The sequence below is a fragment of the Homo sapiens genome, chromosome 9 (assembly GCF_000001405.40).
Source record: "Homo sapiens chromosome 9, GRCh38.p14 Primary Assembly".
Classification (NCBI taxonomy): Eukaryota; Metazoa; Chordata; class Mammalia; order Primates; family Hominidae; genus Homo; species Homo sapiens.
Window position 1 is genome coordinate 115,808,055 of NC_000009.12, and position 21,439 is coordinate 115,829,493.

Sequence of the window (21,439 nt, forward strand, 5' to 3'; positions counted from 1 at the left end):
AAAGGTAAGATAAGAAATTGATTTGACCAAGAAAACAGAAATAATAAATGCAAACTAAGAAATTGAAACCCAGTTTCTCTTGCATTAAAAATAAAGACTACACATCTGATAAACAATGCGTTCCTTTTCAAAGTGTGTTATATATTACACAAGCTGCTCTTAAGGTTGTAAAAATAGGGTCATTTTGTGCATAATGAAAAGAATTCCTCTGGCTCTCACTCCTACCCACTGTTGTGCAATCCCCAGTCCTTCATGGAGTCTTGTCCAGGTACTTCTGGAAGTTGTCCAGGAAAAGTGTACTATGCTCTCCTGACCAGCCTTCTCTGCCCTCAGTTAGAAACTAGCTGGGCAAACTGAAAAAGAAAAGAATAAACAACAGCAAAAAACCTAGAGACAATGAAAGGCAGCCTTAATGGGACAGGATGTGAATACAATGAAAATCAGACCCGTGGATAGGCAAGGAGCTGAAGGTCAAAGGTGGAGGACCCAGCTTAGGAAATATATCGTGAAACCCACTTGTGGTAAGTTTTGCAGCCAAGCATCCTCTACTGGATCAGAGCAGACACTATAACAATGACCATATAGCTATAATTTGCCAACTGTTGTCCAAATCTAGCCCTTGAGATTTTTTTCAGCTGAAATAAAAATAACAGCAGTTTCCCTTCCTTATTTTCCTTTTCTTCTTCCGTTCCATTTCCTGTTCATAGGCATCGGCATGTCCTGCTGCCAAGGAAAATGGATGGAGGTGGGAGTGAGGGCATCAGTATACCTGGCTGCCCAGAGGTGCTGATTCATATGGGCAGTGAGGAGAATATACGCATGTAGTGGTGTGGCCAGGGGCCAAGGAGGCAGAAGCAGGGAAGAAGATGAAGCCAGTGTGGTTGGGAGATTGCTTACATTAAGCAAATAAGTCAGATGATTGAGCAAATGAGTAAATATTTTAAGAATAATGAGAGCCGGTTTTCTTACTACTAGTAAAATAATTTACAAATATAAAAAGGAAGACATCTAGAAGAACACGAAGGTATTTCATTTGCAATTAGAGATTTTTACAGTTTTTTATTGCTATATGATAAACCATCTCAAAATTTAGTCGTGCAAAACAACTTTTTCTGTTTGCATATCCTGTGGGTCAGGGATCCGGGGGAGCACAGGGGGCACAGACAGCCTGCTCCATGACATCTGGGGCCTCAGCTGGAAAGACTTCCATGATTCGGCAGACCCAACTGCAGGGGACTGGAATCATCCAGAGTCCTTAGGGCAGTTGAATTTTTTTGATGCTAGCTCCATATACTTGTGCATTCTAGTGAACAAAGTGAAAGCTGCATGCCTTTGCTAACTGAGTCTCAGTAAACATGTGGCATCATTTCTCCCATCTCTATTGGTTATACATGAGTCACAAGTTTGTCTAGGTTCAAGGAAAAATGACATCAAGTCACCCATCAATGAGAAGAGTGAAAACAAATTTGTGGGCAGCCAAAGGGATTGTCATGAATTTTATGTTTATTAGGTACATTTGTATATACATAAATATAAGAATTTTGTGTATGTATACATGGATATACACATGCACACACATATATATGTGTACACACAATTTTGTATATGTATATATGGATATACACATGCACACACACATATATATGTGCGTACACACACACACACATACACATAATTTTTCTACCTCTGTCCATTGGGAAGTCCTTAAGCCATGACAGAGAAGTGGCAATGAGCACGCTGAATAGTCAAACAAACTTAGCTTCTAAATACCTTCTTCTACTAAAAGGAATGACAGGCCCTTGGATTAATGGCTGAATCCAGGACTGAAATTGTATGAGAGGTGCACAGAATATCTTGTTTTGCTAGAAAATAAAGAAATGCTCAAAGAATACTGAAACATGTCAAAAGAATTTCAGAGCCAGTTCAAAAGGTTCCTAATCACCACAGATGGGAAGATTTGAGCATCAAATCAGAAAGTGGTAGTAACATATATTGACCCATTAAATTAATTAAAATCCATGAGTCCATAGTAAAATAAATAAATAAGCCATTAATCATATCAATGAATGGGGTAAAAGAGAAATTTCTTCCCTGTATTGAGATGACAACTAAAAAATATAGAAGGAAATATAGAATGGAAATAGAAAAAAACGCCACTTGGCAAGCATCATAGTTGTGGTTGATTTAGGCAGAAGTCATGATGGCTGTTAGGAAAGTGGGTGGAGTTCTGACAAAAGTAAGACACTAAGGTAATATCTGAGTATCCACCCACCCCTGCAAACTACTCATCAGTTATAAAGAAGAAATGATTACTGTATTGTGGAGAAATCTGATCAAGAACAATATGACCAGGTGATAAAGTCTGACATGACCACAAGAAGGATGAGTCAACAGCATGCATTTCCTGATGGAACTCGTTGAAAAAAGCACAGTGTCACTTCTGTGGTACCCCTCTCAGAACATATAGGACTCTGTAGAACTATAAAGACTATATACTATATGATCCAATTATATGACATTCTGGAAAATTCAAAACTATGGGGATAGTAAAAAAATGAGGGGTTGTCAGAGGCTGGGGGAAGAGAGGGATAAATAGGCAGAGCACAGAGAATTGTTAGGGCAATAAAGCTATTCTGTATGATACTATAATGGTGAATACATATTATTACTTATTAGTCCAAACCCATAGAATGTTCAATACCAAGAGTAAACCTAATGTAAACTATAAATTTTGAGAGATCATGATGTGTCAATGTAAGCTCATCAGTTACAATAACTACCACTGATGCCAGTTACTGATAGTGGGGAATACTGTGCATGATGAGGGGGCAGGAGGAATATGGAAACTCTGTACTCTCCACTCAATTTTGTCATGAACCTAAAACTGCTTTAAAAAATACAATTTATTTAAGACTTTTTTTTAAAAAAAAAAAGAAGGCAAGGACTGTGTCAGGCCAACTTTAGAAATACTCTGGTTGAGGTTTGGTCTACAAAATGAATGGATTATACTCTTAAAAACTATCAAGAACATGAAGGCCAAAGAATGGCTAAGGTGCTGTTTCAGGCTGAAGGAGATTGATAAAATCGAACAGCTAAAAGCAACACGCATTCCTGAATAATATGCTTGGCCAGAACCGCCAGTGGGACACTGTTAGGATGGCTGGTGAAATTTGAATGGGGCATGTGGATTGGATGCTTGTACTGTATCAAGGTTGATTTTCTGATTTGGAGGCTTATACAGTGGTGATGGAAGAGAATGCCCTTGCCTGGGGTAAATACACAGTGGGGAATTGAGGAGTCATGGAGGCATATCTGCTGTTGATCTCAATGGTTTGGAAAAAGATTAATGACAATTGGGAGGTGGCAGAGAAGAGCAGAGAAGAGAGTAAATGTGGGGAATCCATATGTTATGGGTTGAATTATTGTCCCTAAATTAATATGTTGATGAACCTAACTTCCAGTAACTCAGAATGTAACTCGGAGAGGTTCTTTAGAGTGGTAATCGAGTTAATGTGAGGCCATTGGAGGGGACCCTGATGGAATATGGCTGGTGTCCTCAAGAGAAGGGGAAATTTAGTCCTTTCCTCTTTCAAATTTGTAGATTATTTGGGCCAGGAAGACAAAATAAGATGAAACAAAAGAAGCAATTATTTCTTTATGGCTGTCCTGGCATATGTGATCTTTAAAGTTTGAGATTTAAAGATATTGGTTTTAAAAAAAAGTAAGAGGAAATTTGGACACAGAGACATGAACAGAGAAAAGATGATGGGAAGATACACAGAGAGAAGATAGCCATTTCCAAGCCAAGAATAGAGGCCTGAAACAGGTCCTTCCCTCACAGTCCTCAGAAGGAATCAAGTTGGCCCATGCCTTGCTTTCAGACTTTGGACTAGATTTCCATCTCTCCAGAACTGTGAGACAGAAGTTATCTAGTTTTTGGTATTTTGTTACAGTAGCCCTAGCAAACTAAGACACTACATAAGACAAATGCAGAAGTTCTTCATATTGTTCTTACAACTTTTCTGTAAGCTTAAAATCAGTGGAAAATGCAATATAATTAATAACGATGTATTGTATACTTGAAAATTGCTAAAAGGGTAGATTTTAAGTGTTCTCACTGCAAAAAAATAAAGATAAGTATGTGAGACAAAGCATATGTTAAATAGCTTTATTTAGCCATTCCACAATATGTCTGTATATATGTTATATATCTCAAAATATTATTTTGTACACCATAAATATGTACAATTTTACTTGTCAATTTAAAAAGTGATAAACTATAATTTTGTATGCAACAATCTATTAATATTTTCATACGTGCCATCTCCTTTGATCTTAGGTACACCATAATGAGGTAGGTGAGATGGGCATTATGATTTGATCCATCTCACAGTACAATAGTCTCGGAATGGGTTGCAAATGGGTCATCACAGTTCACACTGATAAAGAAAAACAGATCTTAAAGAGGTGATTTCTGAGCCTGTAGTTGCCAGTGAGGGAAGCCAGTAGTTCACACATGTTAACATTTTAATAAAGTTATCAAAGAGAGAAAAGCAAAAGAGAGACTCTTTTAGAGTTTAGCTTTACAAATTTCCCTGAGCCCTATTTCCTTAAAGAAGGTTGGGTACAGTGGCTCATGCCTGTAATCCCAGCATTTTGGGAGAAGCGGGCAGATCACCTGAGGTTGGGAGTTTGAGACCAGCCTGGCCAACATGGTGAAACCCCATCTCTACTAAAAGTACACACACGAAAAAAAATTAGCTGGGTGTGGTGGTGCATGCCTGTAATCCCAGCTACTTGGGAGGCTGAGGCAGGAGAATCACCTGAACCCAGGAGGCGCAGGTTGCAGTGAGCTGAGATTGTGCCACTGCACTCTGGCCTGGGTGACAGAGCAAGACTCCATCTCAAAAAACAAACAAACAAACAAAAAAAAACAAAAAAAAAAAAACAAAGACCTAGAGGAAAGAAAGGGAAGAGGAGAGAGGAGGCAGAGAGAATTGGGATGCAGATAGAAGTGGATGGAGGCAGAGAGAGGAGCAGTGGTGACCACTGTCTGGTTTTGGTGCCCACCTGAAAGGTAATAGGCAGGCAGATGGGAGAGAGGCAAAGGAAGTCATCCTCTGCTCTCCTCCCAGGCAGGCATACTCTCTTGTTCCTCTGTCCTTTGACTTGTTCATAACATCTCAGCAACGTCACTTACCACATGGGATTGTCATTCAAGACTATTTGCTTCTCTACTAGAGCCTGAGATTTTCCAGACTCTTTTGCTTATTAGTTATGGAAACTTGGGTAAGGATGGCAAAAATGATACCTTCAAAATACAGTCATACAAATTCATTGTTTTCCTTAAGACCTGCTGGTGGCTATCAGTCTCATTCAGAGTTAAGCCCCAAATCATTCCCCAGACCCACATGGTCCTTCATGACCTGTCTACCTGTTACCTTCCTATCCCAGATCAGCTCACTCCAGCCTCCTGGCATTCCTTAAGAGCTCTCAGACTCACTGAGGTGAGCTCTAGGATTTGGGCTGTTTCTTTGCCTCCAGCATGCTTCCTTCCGATGTTCGTAAGGTTGACCTTACCTCCTGTGGTCTTTACCGAAATGTCACCTTCACAGGCAACCCTTTCTAAAATTTAAATACCCCCCACTTCCACATTTCCTACTCAATTATTTTCTTTAGAACTCATTACTATGTAAAATAGTATAGTTTTTACTACCCTGTAAAAAGAATTTATACAATTCTTGTATAAATTGCCTATCTTCCTCACTGGAGTATGTTTCACAGGCCAGATTTTTTTTTAATTTACTGCTGTATTTTTACCACATAGAATGGTACTTGGCATATACTAGGTGCTCAATCATTATTCATTGAGTGGCTGATAGGAGTTATTTGACCATCTTGTGCCTCAGTTACATTATCAAAAATTATAAATATCAAATGCTGGTGAGGATATAAAGAAATTGATTACTCACACATTGCTGGTAAAATATGACACGGCACAACCACTCTGGAAAACAGTTTAGAATTTTCTTATTAAACTAAACATGTGATTGCCATATGATTCAGCAATTGCACTTTGGACATTTATCTCTAAGAATGAAAACTTACGTTCTTGTGAAAAGTTGTATATGAATGTTCATAACAGCTTTATTTGCAATAGCTGAAAACTAAAAACAACTCAGGTGCCTTTTAGGGGGGTAATGGTTAAACATACTGTGGTACATCCATACTGTGGAATATTACTCAGTAATAAAAAGAAATACACTATTGATACAGCTTGAATGAATCTCAAAGTAAAAAGAGCTAACCTCTGAAGGCTATGTACTGTATGATTCAATTTACATAAAATTCTCAAAATGACAAAATTAAAGACATGAAGAACAGGTTAGTGGTTGCAAGTAATTAGGGATGAGGATGGTGGTAGAGAAAGAAATGTGGATGCATTTATTAAAGGACAATATAGAGAAATAAAATTTTAAAAAGGACAATATAAGGGATCCTTGTGGTCATATGAAACTTCTGTTTCTTGGTAGTGGTGGATACATGCATTACACATGGGATAAAATCACATGGAAATAAATACACACAGCACACATACACATGAGTACATCTAAAACTTTGAAAATTTGAACATGTAGGTGGATTGCATTAATGTCGATTTCCTCTTTGTGATATTGCAAGATATTATCATTGAGGGAAACTAGGTAAAGGGTACACAGGATCTCCCTGTATTATTTCTTACTAGTATATGTAAGTCTACAGCTATGAAATAAAAGTTTGATTAGAATGATAGTTTTTTATTTAATTCTGAAAATATGCAAAGAGTACTTAACATGCGCATGGCCTTTTCACAGCAGTTGTAAATATTAAATGAATATACCTATATATGTAAACATTAAATTGATGTATAACTATACATACATATTTCATATGTATGTACATATTATTTTATAAATATTATATTTATATGTATTAAGTAGATATATAGACACACAGGAGTATATGTGTGTATGTAAAGCACTTGGAATGCTGCTCAGCAATATAGGAAACATTCAATACATTTTAGCTATTTTTATTTCAATCTTCCAGGGCGCAGCCTGTGTTCAGTTAATCTCTGATTCCCAGTATGCATATTGTTTCTGATGTGCATTGCAAGTGTCAGTCAATGTGAGCTGAATAAATAACATTGCTAATTCCTTGCACCAACCTTCAAAGTCAGTAAGAGTGGTGCTCAGTGTAAAGATCCAGAGTTATCTAGAACCATAGACGGGAAGAAAATAGGTCAACCTAAACTGCATTTCTCAGCTTTGCCACTAATGTTATAAAGCTTTCAAAAGTCCCTTTTCTTCACTGGTTCTCAGTTTCCCCATTAGTAGGAGGAAGAAATGGAATGGCATTATTTGTAAGGGTCCTTTCCAACCTTTAAATACACATGTTTCTATAGTTTACAAACACAGAGAATTATCTTCCTAAAACCTGAGCATGTGGCTGGGAGTGCAAAAGTAATAAATATTGACTGCAAAATTCTGGCTTCTAGTTCCATTTGGGTCAAGTTGATTGTTCTGTTTTTGGGCCCCACTAAAGCATGGTTTTTAGCAGCTGGTTTCTACCTTTATAGTTATTTGAAGTAGACAGTGAGCAAAATATCTGTACATGATAGCAAGCCAAGGTTTTGAAATTCTTTAAGGGGTAAGAAATTGTAGAAATTTAAGCTATAATTATAGTATTATCACTACCATTGCATCATTATCATCCAAAGCCAAGGGGTGTTACCTTACTAAATTTAAAGACAATAAAGGCATGTTGTAATTTATGAAAGCATAAAACAGGCCTTTGAAAAATAGCAGCTTGATTATTTTAGCTAATATTTGTAATACAGCCTAATATATTCATGCAGTGTTTTTGAGAGGACCCCTGGGTAATTTTCCATGCCAAAGGTTAGCCAATAGCTGACAGATGTCCTTACTCAAGAAGACTGGATTTTACACTGCTTGAACATTATATAGAGTCAATTCTTGCCTGGCCTCTTGCTTTATGTTAGTGTATCTGGAATGTACAGCCACTTCACAGTTAAAATAGTTTTATATTTTTTAACTAGCTATGGATTCCTTGGATATTAAATTGAGTGCTTATTGAACACCTTGCTTGAAATAATTACAATGCAATATGCAAAGTTCTCTATTAATATTAATTTGTTGAGGAACTACCAAGAAACCTCATTTTACTTAGCTAACTCACCTAATTTAGCTCTCACATTCTTTCAAAGAGATACTAAAAACTTCAGTTTGCAGAGAGAGGGAACAGCATCACAGAGATTATATCATCATGCAAAAGCCACCCATTGATGAATGGGAGTGCGGAGATCAAAACTCAGTTTTCTTTTCTTTTTTTTCTTTCTTTCTTTCTTTCTTTTTTTTTTTTTTTTTTTTTGAGACAGAGTCTCGCTCTGTCGCCCAGGCTGGAGTGCAGTGGCGCCATCTCGGCTCACTGCAAGCTCCGCCCCCCAGGTTCATGCCATTCTCCTGCCTCAGCCTCCCAAGTAGCTGGGACTACAGGCGCCTGCCACCACGCTCGGCTAATTTTTGTATTTTCAGTAGAGACGGGGTTTCACTGTGTTAGCCAGGATTATCTCCATCTCCTGACCTCGTGATCTGCCCACCTCGGCCTCCCAAAGTGCTGGGATTACAGGCGTGAGCCACCGCGCCCAGCCCAAAACCCAGTTTTCTTACTCTCCAAATCCTGAGCATATCCAACGTGGTAGGCTGCTTCAATCAAAATTTTGAAAATTTTTTTAAAAAGTAAGAAATATGTGGATGACAGCACCTAAATTACAACGACAGAATAAATAGAAATTAACTAGAGTTTGAGTAACTGAAAAAGATGAGAAAAATATTTTCAAAGTGCAGAAAACATTGGTAGGCTTATACAGCCAGGAAAACTGCCTTTAAAGACTGAGGCTGGAGTAAAGGCATTTTTAGACAAATAAGAACTGAATGAAACATGGATAAATTCTCATAAAAGAAATTTCTGAAGGATGTATTTATGGATAAAGAATAACCCTAGAAGTAAGGTCTATGATGCAAGGAAACAGTCAACAAAAACAAATACTAACTCTCTGACCAAAGAATAATAGTGTCTAATTTGAGGTTAAAAAAATAAAAACAATCCAAGATGCAACTTAAATATTAGACAACAATAGCACTTGTATTGGGAAGGAGTGAGAAGTGTAAAAGAATTTTGAAATTCATGTATTCTTCAGCATGGGATAAATATTTTAAGTAACTGAGGACTTTGTTAATTATGTGTAATATTTTGGCATAACCACTGAAACACTAGAAAGAGGATATTAAATTAGAATACATATGTTAAAAGTCCTAAAACAAATAAACAAGCAAACAACAAAAACTACAAAAAACAGGGGAGTAAAATTCCCAGGCTAGAGCAAGGATAGATAAGGCAACAGAAAGGTGAATTATCAATGGACACCTAAAGAGAGGACCTTATCTATTCCAGAACTGTCCAAGGAAGATAAAATATTGGTCAACACACCTGCCATTGAAAAGATCCTCTACAGTGAAGCTTCCAAGCTCTCTTTGCTGAGGACCAGTTCTTAAAACTATTAAATAATGTAAATCTTCCAGTTAAAACTTAGCTAACCGAAGAGATCTGCCTACAACTATGGTTTTCAAATGTAGAACACTAGATTATATTCCCAAATGTACTGACTAAATAGGGGAGAGGTAGGGGCATTTTTATCACATACCCCAGTGAAGTGATAACCTGAGGACCACATGTTTGAGAATTACTGTCCTACGTGAGAATATTGCAGTCCCTTGGCGGTTCTGTTTTTCAACCAAGTTAATGCCAAGGCACTTCGTTTATATATCAATTTCAGAAGAATTTGAGAAATCAGAAAACAGAGTGTGCATTCATTTTTATAAAAGGTAACTCTTCACATTGATGAAATGGGTTTCATGGATTAAAGAACCAAGGACAAGTCCTTGGTAGATTGAAGTTAATATCTGAGAATCTAATATTTGATAAGAGGTAGCAGATTGGGCTCTCCTGGTGACACTCAGTCCACAGTCCCTGCCGTCTTTCTTGTTTTTTCTCATTTCTTCAGGGCCATGTAGGGGAAGAGGTGTTTGGGATAAGTTGAGGCCATCTCACTGAAGCACAAAAATCCCAGTCTCAGAAAGTATAGGACAGTCAAATTTCAGATGCTCACAGAACTAAACTCTTCCTGCATAGAAACACACTTCAGAATTTATGACATTGATAAAGGCTAAAATGTCTCACCTTCTCTAAACTCTAATTACTACAAAATGCAGGACCAGCATATATATTTTTTCTTCTAAAAATAGATTTAAAAAAATTCTCGTAATATTCATTTGGCCAGTCACTTATTTATTCACCCTCATATTCACTTCTGTTTCCATGCCCATATGTATTCCTTCACACATTGTGTACAAATTCACTCACATTTTATTGAGTCAGTCATTAACTCATTCACGAGTCTCACTCACTTGGTCATTCATTTATGCATTCACTTACTTATATCATCTTTCATTGTTGTCTCATTCTTTGATTCTCTAATTCATGTATTTGTTTACTCATTTACTTGCTCATTTATCCATGTACCCATTCATTTAAAATACACATACACAAAATCTTCATGGAAACTTCTTGTGCTAGAACCTAGCCTGTGCTGCAGTCTAAGGCAGAGATTGGTGACGAACCATGAATTCTCAAAGCCCTCTATTTATTTTGTTTTATTTTATTTTATTTATTTTATTTTATTTTATTTTATTTTATTTTATTTTATTTTATTTTATTTTATATTATTTTATTTTGAGACAGAGTTTGCTCTCATCACCCAGGCTGGAGTGTAATGGCATGATCTCGGCTTGCTGCAGCCTCCACCTCCTGGGTTCAAGTGATTCTCCTGCCTCAGCCTCCTGAGTAGCTGGGATTACAGGCACCCACCACCATGTCCAGTTAATTTTGTATTTTTAGTAGAGACGGGTTTTCACCATGTTGACCAGGCTGGTCTCAAACTCCTGACCTCAGGTGATCCACCCGCCTCGGCCTCCCAAAGTGCTGGGATTACAGGCATAAGCCACTGCACCAGACCTGATTTTATTTTTCTTAGGGTCACACCTCAATCATCTCAGAAACTTCAACCCAGCTTCCAGGTTCCCAGAGGTCCTACCACTATCTCAGATGAGTGGGTCTTAATCAAGGCCTTGATATATGCATAGTCACCAAATTCTATTATTTTCTTATACTCTAATTGTTCTATGCCATAAGGTGAATTTTTACCCACGCTCCTTACTCTATGATTGTAAATATGTTACAGTACAATCAGCACAAGTGACTCCTGGCTTAGTTAAACTCAAGGACTGTACTCTCAAAGTTCAAAGTACTTTTTTCAATAACCAGCGTGACTGGTCATTGTTTAATATTTGTCTTTATTTCTAGGGAGTAAGTTCTAAAATAATAGCAAGTTAGATGGTGCTGTTTATTAATGTATCCTCAGCTCCTGGCATAGTGTTTGGCTTCATAACGGTTTGTTAGCAGTAATAAATATGACAAGTGTTGCCATTGAGAAGGCACGAAAAGCTTAGGGAGAGAAGATATGGCATAACTCTGCATTTGAGGGGTTGGGGATAATGGGGAGGATACACAAATGATATGATATTTCAACTGTGCTTTGAACATAATAGGGGTTTGCTAGGCAATTTGTGTGTGTCTGTGTGTGTGTGTCCCAGCAAAAGAAAAATATTTGCAAAGACACAGAGGTCTAACAAAAGGGAAGTTCACTATGGTTGGATTATAATGCAAAGGGAAATAAGAATGGAAGCAGGACAGCACTGGATAAACAGGCTGGGAAGGCAGGCAGAGATCACATCAAACGTTTTAATCCATGTTAGGAAGTCTGGGCTTAATTCTGAGAGCAATGGGGCAGCAAAGAGGTGATTTATGCATGGAAGTACCTGGACAGAAGGACTTATGTGTGTGTGTGTGTGTGTGTGTGTGTGTGTGTGTGTGTTTGTGTGTGTGTGTGTAGTGGGGGATGGAGAGAAATCACTTATGACCGAAGCAGAACACTTAGAAGTGAAGGACAAGGTATATGGTTATAGCTCAAAAGACTATGTTGCTTGTTGGTGAATATTGTCAAAGGATTAAAAAAGCATTGTTAGAGCCATGCTTATATTTAAGAACCACATTTAAATAAGAAATACAGGATTCACACTCAGTTTTTTCTTGCCTCAACTATGATATACGTTAGTCAATGTATCCTATCAATTATACATCCTACATGCCTTTAAAACACATCCTCTTCTCTTTATTCCTACTGCCATGCTCCTGTTCAGACACCTATTGTTCTTGAACTAAACTGTGGCAGTCACCCCATCTCTATATTATTTGCCTCCTATATCTTTTCCCCCAATCTGTGTCCCTCACTTTTTGTCAAAGTGAGCATTCTAAATGACTTCTTTCCTGTTTGATTTTTATCAATAGCTATATATCATCTAGATGATCAAGTCTAAACTCTATACTGTGCCCTACTTTATGATGATGTCTCAGATGACCCATCATTTCTTCCATTATTTGACTGTTGAGTTTTCAAAAAAAAGGGTCAAATTACTAAACCTAGAATCTCTTCTTTATAGTCTACGGTAAGAAATAGTCAACCACTTTTTAATGCCATCTTAATATGGCGTAAACACCTCTAGTGTTATACTTAGTACATTGTGCTGATATTTATTTGTGTATGTCTGTCTTTACCCACTAACTGTGTCTTCCTTGGAGACAAAAACTGCATCTTATTTTTTAATACCCGGGGTCTGGTAAAGTGTCTGTATAACTAGCTGTTTCCCTTTCTCTCAATTTTTTTTAAGTGAGAAAATAAATGAAACAAACTAAAATAAAATGAATGAATTAATATAGAGAAAGAGAAAGAGGGTCAGGTCCAACTAAGATAGAAAAAAATAAACATGTTCTGATGTTTTGGAGCATGGTGATATTTTTCTCTCTCTTGGAAAGACACAGAGGATCTTTTGCTCACTATCACTGGTCCATTATGAGTTTCATGATTAAAAATATGCATATGGTATGATGGATTTAATATTGATCAACTCTATTAATACCTAGGGAGAAATTGACTCTGTGTTTCTGACTATGTGGCTAGAAAGTGGTTTGGTTGGCTGATCACTGGGGTCAGTCCTGGAAGAGCCAAGAAATCCAAGTGTTTTCCCTCTGTTTCACCAGCTTTCTGGCTGAGTCTAGTGGGAGACACTTGGGGCCCATCCCAGGTAAGCTAACTGAAGGTTCTCAAAAACCAGATTAGGTGGGAAACCCTTCACAGACTGGAGCTAATGACCTGAGAAATTCTGTGACCAGTTAATTGGAGACTCCTTCAGGTCCAATAGAGAATGTGAAAGCCAAATAGGAAATGAGGAAAAACAGCTGGAAGTAGTAAGACAACGTGAGGGAGGGGAGCGGTAATGGCTATGGGGCTGAGGGATTCTCTAGGGGAGGAATACAATTGAGATAATCAGGATGAAAAAGCAATTCAGGGAGGGAATTTAAAAACTGCATGCATGCATATTCTCTCAGTTGATACCCTATGGCATGCTGAAGATGATATTGGCCTCTAAAGGCAACCAATTCGTGAGGATGAGAAAATGAGTCAGAAAGGAGCACTTGTTAAATGCTTGCTATGTGCAAGGTGACGCATTTGGTATTGAAGATAAATCTGTGAAAAGACTTACGCTTTGCCCTAAATGAAGCTTTCAACACCATATGAGATAGCTACCATTATCCTCTATTTATCAAAAAGAAAAATTGAACGTCAGGGAGGTTAAATATCTTGTGTAAACGCATACTTCTAGGAAGAGAGAGCTAAACTTTCCAAGAGAGTCTGATCAGAATTAAAAACTAGGTTGGGGTGTTTTCAGGAACTAGTTACTTCTCCTGCCTGAGACGCAGGGAATCCTCCTAAAAGGATGCTACCTGTATCCTTTCTGAGAGACATTACAAGCTATAATAAGGAAAATGCAGAGAATCCTGTTGATCTGGTAGTTTGGGGTCAGAAACTAGTCACTTCAATGTTGATATTCTCTGTGGCTTTGAGCAAGTCTTCAACTATTCCCCAGATTCCCTTATTCTAGAAGTAGGCAACAATGTGTAATCCCTTCTATCTTTAAGGCTATCCCAAGAATTGGGATGGTCTCAAGTTTAATGTGGGCTTATTGAAGAAACGGAAGATTTTTATTTTGATTCATTCTTCACTCCATGACTGAGTTGACATCTTGTCTGTTATCACCACTCTGGCAAATGCAATAGAAACTTAATGAAAGTATAGCTGTGTGAGACCAACTGATAGGGACAAAAATATAGAATATTTGAAGCACCAGAGATGACTTTTGGTTTGAGGTGTATAATTTAATGTCTCAGAAAAATTGTGTTGTATCATTTTCAAATATTTCCATCATTGTGCACTATACATCTACAATGTGTATCAAATCCAAAGTACTTAATTTTTAAATAAACAGTAGATAGATCAATATAACTATAAAATAGACAAAGGGATCATATAACTTATCTGCTGATATGTAACTTATTTACTTATTGGTTATTGCCTCCATCGAGACACTAATTTTATTGAGATTTTTCTGCAGACCTTATCTGGAGACACTATTGATGTGAAACAAGTGTACCCATCAACATTCATAAAATCATGTAAAACATTTATGAAATTGATGGATACCTTTGTTCTCACCCATTAGTTAAGAACTTAAAAGTTATCACACCTCGTTTACCTATGGAAAATTTAAATCCCACAGAGCTAATATGATTTTCCACAAAGCACTTAGCAAATAATCACAGGATCCAGAATTTGAATGGAATTTGAGTTCAGTAATTTTTCAACTGCATTTTGTCTATATTCTTAACTATATAATTTTACTTTTTTAGCATTTTTTATTCCATAAAATTTTTGTCAATCTGAGAAACTTATAGAAAATAGTACCACAGTTAGGTGGCTGAGAGGCAAATAAAAATGATAATCAATTAAAAATAGAAGTTTAAGCTAGTAACTTAAGCTGTATGCAGATAATTGGCACATTAACACAGCAGTTTCTTGAAGAGTCTCACTTCTTCATTCTCTGGAAGGTCTGGGCTCAGTGTAAAATTTTAGAACAGTTACCATCTCTAAACGGCCATATATATACAACAAATACCTAACATTTGAGTGAAATAAGAATTCTGACAAACAGCCCAGTTCAAGATTTGATATTGTTTGGCTCTGTGTTCTCACCCAAATCTCATGTTGAATTGTAATCCCCAATATTGGAGGTGGAGCCTAGTGAAAGGTGATTGGATCATGGTGGTGGTTTCTAATGGTTTAGCACCATCCCCCTAGTGCTGTCTCATGATATCTGGTTGTTTCAAAGTGTGTAACACCTCCCCCTTCACTTTTTTTCCTCCTGCCATGTAAGCTGTCCCTCCTTTCTCTTCACCTTCTGCCATGATTGCAAGTTTGCTGAGGCCTCCCCAGCCATGGTTGCTGTACAATCTGCAGAACCATGAGCCAATTAAACCTCTTTTCTTTATAAATTACCCAGTTTCAGGTATTTCTATAGCCGTGTGAGAATGGATAAGTTGGGTATTGCTATAAAAATACCTAAAAATGTGGAAGCAACTTTGAAACTGGGTAACGGGCAGAGGTTAGAACAGTTCAGAGGGCTCAGAAGAAGACAAGAAGATGAGAGAAAATTTGGAACTTCCTAGAGACTTGTTGAATGGCTTTGACCAAAATGCTGATAGTGATATGGCCAATGAAATCCAGATGAGGTGGTCTCAGAGGGAGATGAGAAACTTATTGAGAAATGGAGTAAAGGTCACTCTTGCTATGCTTTAGCAAAGAGACTGGAGGCATTGTATCCCTGCTCTAGGTGAAACTGAACTTGAGAGTGATGATTTCAAGTATCTGGCAGAAGAAATTTCTAAGCAGCAAAGTATTCAAGAAATAGCCTGGCTGCTTCTAAAAGCATATGGTCATATGGTGAGCAAAGAGATTATCTGAAACTGGATCTTCTATTTAAAAGGGAAGCAGGGTGTGAAAGCTTGAAAAGTTTGTAGTCAAGCCAGGTGTGGTGGCTCACACCTGTAATTCTAGCACTTTGGGAGGCTAAGGTGGGCAGATCACCTGGGATCAGGACTTTGAGACCAGCCTGGCCAACATGGTGAAACCCCATCTCTACTAAAAATACAAAAATTAGCCAGGCTTAGTGGCATGTGCCTGTAATCCCAGCTACTCGGGAGACTGAGACAGGAGAATCACTTGAACTTGGGAGGTGGAGGTTGCAGTGAGCTGAGACCACACAATTGCACACTCCAGCCTGGGTGACAAGAGCAAGACTCCATCAAAAAAAAAAAGAAAAAGAAAAAGAAAAATTTGCAGCCTGGTCATGTGGTAGAAATGAAAATTCCATTTTCTGGGGAGGAATACAAGCAGCCTACAGAAATTTGCATAAGTAAAAAGGAGCCAAATGTTAATAGCCAAGACAATGAGGAAAATGCCTTGACCTTCCTGGTAGCTCCTTCCATCACAGAGCTGAAGACATAGGAGGGAAAAAAGGTTTTGTGGGTCAGGCCCAGGGCCTCACTTCCCTGTGCAACCTTGGGACACTGCTCCCTGTGTCTCAGCCACTCCAGCTTCAACTTTGGCTAAAAGGGCAAGAGTTGAGGATTGGGAGCTTCTGCCTAGATTTCAGAAAATGTACAGAAATGCCTGGATGTCCAGGCAGAAGTCTGCTGCAGGGGTGGAGCCCTCACGGAGAGCCTCTACTGAGGCAGTGCAGAGGGGGAAATGTGGGGTTGGAGCCCCACACAGAGAGTCCCCACTGGGGCATTGCCTAATGAAGCTATGAGAAGAGTGTCACCATCTTCCAGATCCCAGAATGGTAGATCCAGTGAAAGCTTGCATTGTGCACCTGGAAAAGCCAGAGGCACTCAATGCCAGCTTGTGAAAGGAGCCACAGGGGCTGTACCGTGCAGAGCCACAGAGGCAAAGCTGCTCAAGGCCTTGGGAGCCCACTCCTTGCATCAGTATGGCTTGGATTTGAAACATGGAGCCAAGGGACATTATTTCGGAGCTTTGAGGTTTAATGACTGCCCTGCTGGGTTTCAGACTTGCCTGGGACCTGTAGCCCCTTTGTTTTGGCCAAGTTCTCCCTCTTGGAACAAGAGCATTTATGTGATATCTGTATCTGCATTGTATCTTGGATGCAACTAAGTTGTTTTTGATTTTTCAGGTTCATAGGCAGTAGAGGCTTGCCTTGTCTCAGATGAGACTTTGGACTTGAACTTTTGAGTTAATGCTGGAATGAGTTAAAAATCTGGGGGACTATTTGGAAGGCATGATTAGTTTTGAAATGTGAGAAGGACATGAGATTAGGGAGGGTCCAGAGGTGGAACAAAATGGTTTGGCTCTGTATCCTCACCCAAATCTCATATTGAATTATAATCCCCACTGCTGCAGTTGGGGCCTGGGGAGAAGTCACTGGATCATGAGGGTGGTTTCTGATGGTTAGCATCATCTCCTTAGTGCTGTCTCATAATAGAGTTCTCAAAAAATCTGGTTGTTTAAAAGTGGGTAGTACATCCCCCTTCACTCTTTCTTCTGCTTCTGCCATGTAAGACATGCCTCCTTCCTCTTCAACTTCCACCATGATTGTAAGTTCCTGAGGCCTCCTCAGCTATGCTTCCTGTATAGCCTGCAGAATCATGAGTCAATTAAACCTCCTTTCTTTATAAATTATCCAGTTTCAGGTATTTCTTTATAGCAGTGTGAGAATGGACGAATACAAGCTTTATTCCAAAAACAAAATGAAAGAGAAAGAGAGTGTTTGCTTCATTATGGACTAATACAAGCTTTATTCCAAAAACAAAACAAAAGAGAAAGAGAGTGTTTGCTTCATTCATTAGTCAACTCTAAAACTTTTTAGACTTTATGTTTAGGTGTCTGTCACAAATTCCTTAACGATACTCTGGTTTAGTAGTTTCCTGCCATGGCTGACCATCAGCATGACCTAAAGATATTTCTCCTAATATGAAAGTCTAAGTCCCACCCATGAATATTCCATTCACCATATCTCAGTGAGCTTGAGCACATGTCTTTTGAAATTTTCTACAAATAACTTTGTTTTATAGATCTGATTGAGAAGCAATCCAGGAATACATCACTGTTTCCAAAATTCACAGAGTGACTTAGTCTATTGCTCAAGGACCTCCAGAACGTGAACTTTAATTATCACATGGCCCTTGATATTCTGGTTGCTCAGGATCATGTAGGAATACAGCATAATGTAGGTTTGTATGTATCTGCAACAAATGTAAATGGTAAGTTAGTGTAGGCTTACAGATATTTTTAGAGCACCTGCTTTGTACTGAGAACTTTGTGAGCTTTTTATCTGGTTTTCCATTCCTGACAAGCCAACGGTGGTGCTTAAATTCTGCAGGAATTTCCAGAACCAAATGTGGAGCTGGGAAAAGGCCATAATCTGAAGGGGAAATGAAGCCTGAGTCTTGCATGACATGTCCTCCAGAAAATAGTGATCATCTGGACCATGAAGTTGAGAGGGATGACCAGAGGCAGCCTGCTACATCAGGAGTGAGAGGTCATTATCAGTAATAAAGAAGCAAGTATGATTAAGAAACAGAATTTGGAGAAATTTCCTAGGTCAAAAGAAAAAAAGGCCTTAATAATTAAAATAGGTTGAAAGAATCAATATTGTTAAAATGTCCATACTTCCCAAAGCAATTTACAGATTCTATGCTATTACTATCAAATTGCTAATGTCATTTTTTTTTTCACAGAATTAGAAGAAACTATTCTAAAATGTATATGGAACCAAAAAAAGCCCAAATGGCCAAGGCATTCTTAAGTAAAAAGAATAAATTCAGAAGAATCACGTTACCTAATTTCAAACCATACTACAATGCTATGATAACTAAAGCAGCATGATACTGGTACAAAAATAGATGCATAGATGTATGGAATAGAATAGAAAATGCTGAAATGAAGCCACACACCTACAACCAACTGATCTTTGACAAAACTGACAAAAATATACAGTGGGGAAAAGACACTTTATTCAACAAATGGTGTTGGGAAAACTGGCTAACCATACGCAGAAGAATGAAACTGGACCCCTACCTGTAACCAGATACAAAAATTAACTCCAGATGGGTTAAAGGGTTAAATGTAAGACCTCAATAAAAATCCTAGTAGGAAACCTAGGAAATTCTCATCTAAACATTGACCTAGGCAAATAATTTATGACGAAGACTCCAAAAGCAAGTGCAACTAAATAAAAAATAGATAAATGGGATCTAATTAAACAAAAGAGCTGATGTACAGCAAAAGAAACTATCAACAGAGGAAGTAGACAACCTACAGAATAGGAGAAAATATTTGCCAACTATGCATCTGACAAAGGATTAATATCCAGAATCTACATGGAACTTAAACAAATGAATAGTATAGAAACAAATATGTCAATTAAAAAGTGGGCAAAGTACATGAATAGACACTACTCAAAAGAAGACATATAAGTGACCAACAAACATATGAAACTATGCTCAACATCACTAATCATCAAAGAAATATAAATCAAAACAACAGTGAGATACCACCTTACTGCTGCAAAAATGGCCATTATTTAAATGTCAAAAAAATAACAGATGCTAGTGAGGATTCAGAGAAAGGGGAACACTTATACACTTCTGGTGGGAATGCAAATCATTTTCACCCTTGTAAAAAGTAGTTTGGAAATTGCTCAAAGAATTAAAAATAGAATTACTATTTGACCCAAATGCCATTACTGGATATGTACTCAAAAGAAAATAAATTGTTCTACCAAAAGGACTCCTGCATTAATATGTTTATTGCAGCACCATTCACAATAGCAAAGGCATGGAATCAAACTAGGTGCCCATCAACAGTGAACTGCGTAAAGAAAATGTGGCACATATGCACCATGGAATACTATGCAGCCAAAAAAAAGAATGAAATTGCATTCTTTGCAGCAACATGGAAACATGGATGCAGCTGGAGGCCATTAGCCTAAGTGAATTAAGGCAGAAACAGACAACCAAATACCACATATTCTCATTTATAAGTGGAAGCTAAACACTGGGTACACATGGACACAAAGATGGTATCAATAGGTATGGGCCACTCCAAAAGTGGAGAGGGAAGGATGCAGATAAGTGTTGAAAAACTACCCACTGGTTACTCTGGTCGGTATTTGGATAGCGTGATTGTTAGAATAATATCCTAATAATACAACAATTATTATCTAATAATATCCTAAAATATAATTATTATATTATATATAATTACATAATAATGTAATAATAAGATGCTGATTATTAAATTATCAGCATCACACAGCATCACGCATGTAACATACATGCACATGTATCTTCTGAATCTAATATTAAACATAAATAAATAAAATCAAACACACACATACAAAAAGCCAAACCCCAAAATAAATAAAAGCTTCATTTTGACACTTAAAATGTATTAAAGCCTCATTTAATACTAGATTTGATTAAGGCCTCTCAACATTGGCATTATTGATATGTTGGGGGCTTTCCTCAGCATCAGTAAGATATTTAGCAGCATTTCTGGTCTCCACCCACTAGATACCCACACCATACCCCAGGTGTGACAATCAAAATGTCTCCATATTGCCAAATGTATCCTGGGGGATCAAAATTGCTCCTGGTTGAGAATTACTGGCCTAAATCTTTCTTCTCTGTGTGTTGTGTTCATTGAAATAAACCGTGCTTCTTCTCATTACAGAACTTCTAAACGCTCCAGCTCTTCTATGTGACATAATCTCCATATCCCACCTCTAAATCCTTAATGTCAGATTATTGCTCATATCCAAGTGTAATGGTCACTCCATCGGTGTAGCCTACCCTAATCCACCAATCACAGTATCATAATAACAGCCTTTCATTTAGGGTTAATTTGTAGCTGTATGTTGACCACTGGGATCAGGGAATAATTTCTGACTCCTCTTTCAGTCAGTATACTTCATAAGATCTGGGGTATTATCTATTTTACCCACTATTACATCCTCAGTACCTAGTATGAAGGCTGGCCCAGGATGGAAACTCAATGAACGTTTATTGAATGAATGAATGAATGAATGAAAACTGAACAAAAATTTACAGCCTCTGAAACCAACAACTATTTTCTGAGTACTGATTTTGCATCAAGCAGGATCCTGAGCCAGGGGACTCAGAGAAAAATAATACACAGTCTTTGCCCTAAGAGGCATAGCCTTGTTGAAGAAATTGATTTGTAAGTAAAAAGGAATGATAGAGCATCCTAAGTGGTCAGTGGAGGTCT

The 21,439-nt window shown here is 37.9% G+C and overlaps 1 long non-coding RNA gene across 1 annotated transcript in view; it reads left to right on the plus strand.

The window, feature by feature from the left end:
- The window catches only part of LOC105376234 (uncharacterized), an 83,492-nt gene extending 64,216 nt beyond the window's left edge, over positions 1-19,276 (plus strand). The window contains exons 3-4 of the long non-coding RNA XR_930269.2: positions 18,531-18,689; positions 18,889-19,276. This is a non-coding gene — a long non-coding RNA (uncharacterized LOC105376234). The remainder of the gene's footprint in view (positions 1-18,530; positions 18,690-18,888) is intronic.
- Positions 19,277-21,439: the final 2,163 nt, after the last annotated feature.